Source organism: Homo sapiens, chromosome 22 (assembly GCF_000001405.40).
Source record: "Homo sapiens chromosome 22, GRCh38.p14 Primary Assembly".
NCBI lineage: Eukaryota > Metazoa > Chordata > Mammalia > Primates > Hominidae > Homo > Homo sapiens.
Genome location: NC_000022.11, coordinates 25,276,172 through 25,284,201, shown reverse-complemented (window position 1 = coordinate 25,284,201; position 8,030 = coordinate 25,276,172). Strand labels below are relative to the sequence as shown.

At 50.5% G+C, this 8,030-nt stretch overlaps 1 long non-coding RNA gene across 4 annotated transcripts, besides 3 other annotated features; it reads left to right on the top strand.

Moving 5' to 3' along the window:
* Positions 572–1,504: an enhancer, noted in NCBI's record as "H3K4me1 hESC enhancer chr22:25678665-25679597 (GRCh37/hg19 assembly coordinates)". NCBI's record gives its function as "activates a minimal SCP1, AML or CMV promoter by ChIP-STARR-seq in naive and primed H9 embryonic stem cells {active_cell/tissue: H9 hESC(naive and primed)}" and the evidence as "EXISTENCE:reporter gene assay evidence [ECO:0000049][PMID:30033119]".
* Positions 1,136–3,813, top strand: LOC105372969 (uncharacterized). Of its 4 annotated transcripts, none has more exons than NR_188583.1 (3): positions 1,136–1,220; positions 1,911–2,149; positions 3,380–3,813. It is a non-coding gene; the product is annotated as an uncharacterized LOC105372969 (long non-coding RNA). The 4 variants fall into 4 exon arrangements; NR_188582.1 differs by having other exon boundaries at positions 1,911–2,171; NR_188581.1 differs by having other exon boundaries at positions 1,911–2,171; positions 2,817–3,813.
* Positions 1,505–2,439: an enhancer, noted in NCBI's record as "H3K4me1 hESC enhancer chr22:25677730-25678664 (GRCh37/hg19 assembly coordinates)". NCBI's record gives its function as "activates a minimal SCP1, AML or CMV promoter by ChIP-STARR-seq in primed H9 embryonic stem cells {active_cell/tissue: H9 hESC(primed)}" and the evidence as "EXISTENCE:reporter gene assay evidence [ECO:0000049][PMID:30033119]".
* Positions 6,435–7,125: an enhancer, noted in NCBI's record as "NANOG-H3K27ac hESC enhancer chr22:25673044-25673734 (GRCh37/hg19 assembly coordinates)". NCBI's record gives its function as "activates a minimal SCP1, AML or CMV promoter by ChIP-STARR-seq in naive H9 embryonic stem cells {active_cell/tissue: H9 hESC(naive)}" and the evidence as "EXISTENCE:reporter gene assay evidence [ECO:0000049][PMID:30033119]".

Here is an 8,030-nt window from a genome sequence, read left to right as displayed (position 1 = left end):
TAACTTTGGTTTAGATTCCAATATTTTATAGAATTGCATGGTTTCAAATTCACCATAAACAAGATGCCTCTTTTGAGCATCAAATTCCAAGAGCTATTTAGCATCAAGGAATCACATTAGCTGTACAACTCATGATGGTGTTAATTAGGAAAGGAGCTAGAGAAAAAAAAAAAAACCATCACTGAAGCTTTAATACACTATTTAAAACTCACTACTAACCTGAAGAACTATTTTTTCTGGGGAAGTGCTAATGATATGAACTAGCAAAAAATTTTACTAGTTCCTTAATTATAAATCATCTGAGAGAAAATTGCAACTTGGTATGGACCTCACCAAACCCCTCGCCAATTCAATCGGGCCCTCCTTTGATAATTTAACAACAAATTCCTGTCTGGAATCATCCATTCAAGTGCCTTTTTAAATGAATCCCATTTCAATTTTTTAATAAAGTGCCACCAGTAGATCTGCAAGTTGAGAAAAGCAGCTCAGGTGACACACGTGGCACCAAAAAGATTATTGAGTGGGTCAAAAATCCTGCCTGGGCACAAAATAGAAGAAGAGCCTAAGAAGGTGACTAGACTTAGGGACTTCAAGAAGAACAAGCACTGAAAACAGCAGTTTAACTACCTCGGACAGTAAGCAACAAGCCTGCAGTCCCCAGATAAGCGGCCCAGAGGGAGCTGAGGGGATGGAGTTGGAAAGGGGGACCACAGAGCCGGGGAAGAAGCAGCGACCAAGAAGGAGCGCAAAGGAGTGACAGGCAACGAGCCCACAGGGACCACACCAATGCAACAGGAAGAACCACGGGGATGGGACAGGACAGGACAGGGCCGGGGGGAGGGGGCGACAGGGATGGAGCTGGTCCAGCCAAGTCATAACCAGCCCCTCCCTGGGGCGCTCGCTGCGCGCAGGGCGCCGCGCTGGGCACTTTGGAGCGCTCTCTCCCGGAGTCCCCCCCACCGGCCATCCGATGCCCCATTTCAGAGACTGGAACGGGGAGGCCGGCCCCGCATCGCCAGTTCCGCGGTGTCACCCGCACCCAGGACAGCGACGACTCAATGCCCGACCCTCCCGGACGCAGGAGGTCGCTGACGGCCGCTTGGGGACGGCGGCGTGGGGACCAGCGCGGGCCGGGGCAGCTGGTACCTGGGATCGGGCAGGACGGTCCTCTTGCTGGCGCGGGCGGCCGGAGTCGCCTTGCTCTTCTCCATGGCCATCAGGTAACTGGCATCTGCCAGCACAGCCTCCGGGTCCGCCACGTTGGCGAGTTTTGGCGGCGGCGGCGGTTACTCGGACCCGGATGGGACGCGCTGCCGCCACCGCCGCCGCCGCCGCCAGCTGAGCCCCGACCTGGTGGGACTGGGGCAGCCCCAGGGCAGCCCCTGCTCGGCGCGCCCCACCAGCGCCCTGCAAGCGCCGCAGGCTGTAGCCCGCCGGGGTCGCAGTGCGCCTTCCGCTCCGCCGCCTCGCGCGCCGCCCCCCAGCTCATTCCGCGAGGGTCTGCGGGGAGCTCGCGGCCCGACGGTCGGTGCACCTCAGCGCACAGTCCCAGCGGCCAGGCTTGTCCCGCGCCTCTCGACCAAGTCTCTACGGTAGCCCTCCCTCCCTTCGGGGTGGCCACAAGGGACTCCTCCTCCTCCTCTTCTTCCTCCCCCACCTCTCCTTCGGCCTCCGCCTACTCCTTCTCCTCCTCGTTCGCTGCTCCGACCTCCTGCCCCCAGCTCCATGCGTTCTCATGCCCGCCCAGCTCATCCAGAGAAGCCCTGGGCCCCGTGCCCACTACTCAAGGGGCATCGGGGAGGCCTCTGCTACCTGGACACAGTAGTTCTCAAACGGGACAGCATCAATCAGCATCCTCCAGGAGGTCTGGGATGACCCCGGAAATGCATGTGTCCCACCTGTCCCCGCAGGTAATGATGAAGCCCCTGCTCTGGTCCAAGCTACCTGTGAACAGCGCCCAGCGGGCCGGGCCCCCAACCTCGCTCCTGAACGTACCCGCAAGCCCGCCGTGAGAATTCAGCGAAGAGTAAAGGCTGGAGAAAGTTGCGTGTCTCAGGCTAAGCAGAGCAAAGTGGGGTGAGGGCTTCGCCGCTAGGAACAGAGATGCCCTTAGGGAGCCCCCTGATGGAAGAGCTCTCTGCTTAAGAAGGTCAGCACGCCCTTACACTCAGGTGAGAGGTTTTAGTTTGGGTGTTGAAATAGAAGGAGAGAGAGTATTCCTGCCCTTAGGGTTTTACGGTCAATACAAGAGACAATTAGGGAGCATCTGCTGCGAGCACGCTCGCACCACGAGGGTGATTTAGGGAAGTGGAAAAGCAAGATACAGCCCAAACACCGAAGCTGGGGGGTAATTTCCAGCTTCCCAATCTTCCGTCTCGGTGTCTTTCATCATCACACCACTCCGCTGCCTGGGGTTTTCAGTTGCTTCTAATTTTTCTACAGTTTGCACACAAGTCCGCATTCAGTATTCATGTGACACTCAGGCTGGAGTGGTGGTAAGGGACACGCAGGCAGTCTTAGGAAGACTTAACCTGGAAATTGATGTTTTAAAATCCCTTTCATTCACCTGAATTGGTCACGTGTTCCCATGAGCCTAGACGTTGCTAGAATTGGAGTAAATGTTCTGTCTAAACTTACAGGGTTAATGGGACCCACCAGATACAGTTAAGGTCAAATTTCAGATATTTCATGTAATGTCATTGCAGAAGCAGCCTGATTCCATCATCAAGTAGCCTGATGCCCTCTTTTATTTTCTGTCCCCACCCCCACCCCCCTCAATCTGATTCCCTGCTATGCCTGCCGTCACCATTGGCCAGTTTTACCACGTTTTTCAAGATCCAAGGCACAATAGGCATAAAGTTATCCTGAAAAGGACAAGAGGAGTGTCAGAAGTAGGAATGGCAGTCGAAGGAGCTTCGTCTGGCAGCAGAAAGCCAAAATGACAGGCAAGCACAAAATATATTAATGAGACAAAGCTATGCATGAGCGAAATATCAAACTTTCATCTTCTACCCACTTTTTTTTTTTTTTGCTTAAAAATAGGAAGACAGAATGTCTTGTCAAGGGTCACCCCAGGAGGAGGAGTAAATTCTCCAAAAATCAGAACATATTTTTATGATTTAATTAATGCAATTTCTCTCAATGTTTCTGTTTGTCATTTGAGCATCCACATGATCAGACCTGACATCTGCCTACATTTTATTGGTCATCTTTGACTTCAGTTAAGAACCCTTTGGGTTTTGCTTTTTGCTTTTTTTTCCCCCCAGCAGCACACTGTAGTAAGTTTGGAACAAGACACACCTGAAATCAAGTCCCTGCTCTGGGCTGGGTGATCTTAGAGGCAATCTCTTAACCTCATTCTACTTTATTGTTCTCATAGGAAAAGTGGAAATGAGGCCTTTTACCCCAGGGTTGTTGAGAAGACAGGGGAGAAAAAGCACATAAAAATGCACCTTGTCGGGCGCAGTGGCTCACACCTGTAATCCTGCACTTTGGGAGTCTGAGGCAGGTGGATCGCTTGAGGCCAGGAGTTCAAGACCAGCCTGGCCAACATGAAAAATACATTAAAAATAATGTCTCTATTAAAAATACAAAAATTAGCCAGGCATGGTGGTGCACGCCTGTAACCCAGCTACTCAGGAGGCTGAGGCACAAGAATCGCTTGAACCCAGGAAGTAGAAGCTACAGTGAGTCGAGATTGCACCACTGCACGCCAGCCTGGGTGAAAGAGTGAGACCCTGTCTGAAAAAAAAAAAAAAAAAAAAGCATTTTGCCTGGCACCCAGTAGATCCTCAATAAAGGTCATGTCACTTCCTCTGTTTATTTTGCTTCATTTTACCCTGGCATGCTAGAGAAGATGCTGAAACTAGTTGTTCACAGTTGTTACACTTGAAGCAGGAAGACCCCTTACCAAAAATAACATCTCCCTAGGGCATTTCTCAGAACTAAAATGGCAAAAACATTTGCATTTACAAACAAGAACAATTACTCTTTTGGCAGAAAGAACAAGGAGTCCAAAATTTGGTCCTCTAACTGAGGCCCCTACACCATTTGAGTCAGCTGACTCAATTACCCAGGGGTATTTTTTTCCGGTGTTCATAGTGTATGAATTTCTGTTCCCTGGCTGTCTCTTTGGTTGTCTCACTTTCTCCACCCCCTCTTCTTTCTCTTTTTCTTGACTCTTTTAATACTGAACAGCTTTTTGTCTTCACTGCAAACAGAAGGGGTTAATGACAGTGATGATGAAGTTGTCATAACTGACCTGCTGGATCCTGTTACTAAACACCATCCCCAGCCTGTAATCATCACAAAGAACAGAGAAAACAAATAGCAACCCATTTGTACTTAGCTAATAATGTTCCCTTGCAAATAATTATGTCTCCCACCCCCAGAGGATTTAAATGACTTGGGGCTCACGCTGTTTGTGAAAATAGACAAAACTCCAGCGTTCCCACAAGATTAATAATGTTCCCTTTTCTTCTTTTCTATGCCTTTCCATCGTTATAGGAGATGTTGCTGAGATGGGTGCATTAAAGTTTAGGCTTTCCAGAGTTTATATTGCTAACGACTTGAAAGGAAAAAAGCTAACTAGAGAACTGACTGGTCTTATTTGTTTTAGATTTCGGGCTTTACTAAGACTTCCTACACTCAATCTCTGGACTGTAAATGCTGGGTGGGGTGGGAGCTGGGAATGTTATTCTGGGAAATTAATCACAAATGAAAAGAAAATCAACTCTAAGACTTCAATTACAAGATTTTTGAAAATGGCAGAACATGGCTGGCCTTCATTCAAGTCCGAATATTTAAAGCAATCCTTGCTAAGAAGAACTTGATTTTATATAAGGAGTCCCTTAAATACAGTTGCTTCTCAAGAAAACCACACACAATTGATGTTTGAATGGCTTTATTTACAAACATCTCACTCTGTAAGCCTCTGCAGGTATTTCTAGCCTCCCTGGGAGGCCACTGTCCCGTTTCACCTGTAATTTGGATCACAATTCTGTTTGTTGTCACACACATCATACGAGCTGCTTTTCATGCTACTTTTATCCACAAAGCTTTACAAACTTTAATGGCAGCTCTATATATGACAACTTTAAAAAGATCTGCCAAAAGGTATGATGCCAAGCTTTGGTTTTATTAAACTATTAGCTATTAGCACTGAAACGATGTTCAGTAGAGAAGTACTCTCCTTTCGATATGTGAGTGGAAACACATTTCTCTATGGGGACTGCTGGTCAGGGAGTCACTCTAAAGAAAAGTGACAGTGTTGTTGTTGTTGTGGTTCAGAGCATGGGCTCAAAAGTCAAATGGCCTGAATAAGAAGCCCGAGACCAGTCCTTCTGAGCTGTGTGACCTTAGACAAGTTGTCTAATCTCTCTGTGTCTCAGCTCTGCCTCAGTGTTGTTAACGGGATTGCCGTGAGAGCAATGCTGTAACATGTAAAAAGTGCTTAGAACTGTGTCTGGCCCTCTCCCCTCTCCCCTCTTCCCCTCCCCCTCCCCCTCTTCCCCTCCCCCTCTCCCCCTCCCCCTCACCCCCTCCCCCTCCCCCTCTCCCTCTCCCCACGGTCTCCCTCTCCCTCTCTTTCCACGGTCTCCCTCTGATGCCCAGCCGAAGCTGGACTGTACTGCTGCCATCTCGGCTCACTGCAACCTCCCTGCCTGATTCTCCTGCCTCAGCCTGCCGAGTGCCTGCGATTGCAGGCGTGCGCCGCCACGCCTGACTGGTTCTCATATTTTTTTGGTGGAAACGGGGTTTCGCTGTGTTGGCCGGGCTGGTCTCCAGCTCCTAACCGCGAGTGATCCTCCAGCCTCGGCCTCCCGAGGTGCCGGGATTGCAGACGGAGTCTCGTTCACTCAGTGCTCAATGGTGCCCAGGCTGCAGTGCAGTGGCTTGATCTCGGCTCGCTACAACCACCTCCCAGCCGCCTGCCTTGGCCTCCCAAAGAGCTGAGATTGCAGCCTCTGCCCGGCCGCCACCCCGTCTGGGAAGTGAGGAGCGTCTCTGCCTGGCCGCCCATCGTCTGGGATGTGAGGAACCCCTCTGCCTGGCTGCCCAGTCTGGAAAGTGAGGAGCGTCTCTGCCCGGCCGCCATCCCATCTAGGAAGTGAGGAGTGCCTCTTCCCGGCCGCCATCCCATCTAGGAAGTGAGGAGCGTCTCTGCCTGGCCACCCATCGTCTGAGATGTGGGGAGCGCCTCTGCCCTGTCGCCCCGTCCGGGATGTGAGGAGCGTCTCTGCCCGGCCGCCCCATCTGAGAAGTGAGGAGACCCTCTGCCTGGCAACCGCCCTGTCTGAGAAGTGAGGAGCCCCTCTGCCCAGCAGCCGCCCCGTCTGAGAAGTGAGGAGCCCCTCCGCCCGGCAGCCACCCCGTCTGGGAAGTGAGGAGCATCTCTGCCCGGCAGCCACCCCGTCCAGGAGGGAGATGGGGGGGTCAGCCCCCCGCCTGGCCAGCCGCCCCGTCCGGGAGGTGAGGGGCGCCTCTGCCCGGCCGCCCCTACTGGGAAGTGAGGAGCCCCGCTGCCCGGCCACCACCCCGTCTGGGAGGTGTACCCAGCAGCTCATTGAGAATGGGCCATGATGACAATGGCGGTTTTGTGGAATCGAAAGGGGGGAAAGGTGGGGAAAAGATTGAGAAATCGGATGGTTGCCGTGTCTGTGTAGAAAGAGGTGGACATGGGAGACTTTTTATTTTGTTCTGTACTAAGAAAAATTCTTCTGCCTTGGGATCCTGTTGATCTGTGACCTTACCCCCAACCCTGTGCTCTCTGAAACATGTGCTGTGTCCACTCAGGGTTAAATGGATTAAGGGCGGTGCAAGATGTGCTTTGTTAAACAGACGCTTGAAGGCAGCATGCTCCTTGAGAGTCATCACCACTCCCTAATCTCAAGTACCCAGGGACACAAACAGTGCGGAAGGCCGCAGGGTCCTCTGCCTAGGAAAACCAGAGACCTTTGTTCACTTGTTTATCTGCTGACCTTCCCTTCACTATTGTCCTGTGACCCTGCCAAATCCCCCTCTGCGAGAAACACCCAAGAATGATCAATAAAAAAATAAATAAATAAATAAAAGAACTGTGTCTGGCACACAGAAAGCACTCGATAAATATTGACCAGGTTATCAGCAGCAGCAGCATCGCTGGAGCATCTCTACATCATACAGGGCCTGATGGAAAGAGACCAGCACTGAGAATGAACAGAACAGTGCTGGCTCTGACCCGCTGGCTCTGGCATTGCTGAATAACTCTAAGCAAGTCTCTTAAGCTTTTTAAATCTCACTTTTCACCAATAACTAATGAAGGGATTGAAGGAGCAGGTCCCCTGACGTCTTTTCAAATTCTAAAATTCTCCAGCTGTATTTAATCCTGCAGTGAATCCTTTTGCAAGGTAAAGAGTACTCGCTCCCCTCAATAACATCTTATGAGTTTAGGTTTCGGTGCACAGGGCAATACCCAGGGCAGAAGTTAGTATTTTTAAATGTGTCATCCATATCTCTCAGACTGCTTTTTATTGTCTAGAAAATGTTAGGTTTTATCTACTAATGAAGAGAAAACTGTCAGTCAGACTGTTAGAAGTGATGGGGTATTTTTATGAAAAGAAACATATTCAACCTTGAAACTAGAAACCATTTTTGTTTCCCCTAACCAGGGCCTGTCTGTCAATTTCTCACATTTTCAAAGCCCCACTGCACAACCTGAATGAAAACACAATGTCAGCCAGGCGCAGTGGCTCACGCCTGTAATCCCAGCACTTTGGGAGGCCAAGGCGGGCGGATCATGAGGTCAGGAGATCGAGACCATCCTGTCTAACACGGTGAAACCCCATCTCTACTAAAAATACAAAAAATTAGCCAGGCGTGGTGGCGGGCGCCTGTAGTCCCAGCTACTTGGGAGGCTGAGGCAAGAGAATGGCGTGAACCTGTGAGGTGGAGCTTGCAGTGAGCCGAGATCGGGCCAGTGCACTCCAGTCTGGGCAACAGAGCAAGACTCCGTCTCAAAAAAAAAAAAAAAAGAAAGAAAACACAATATC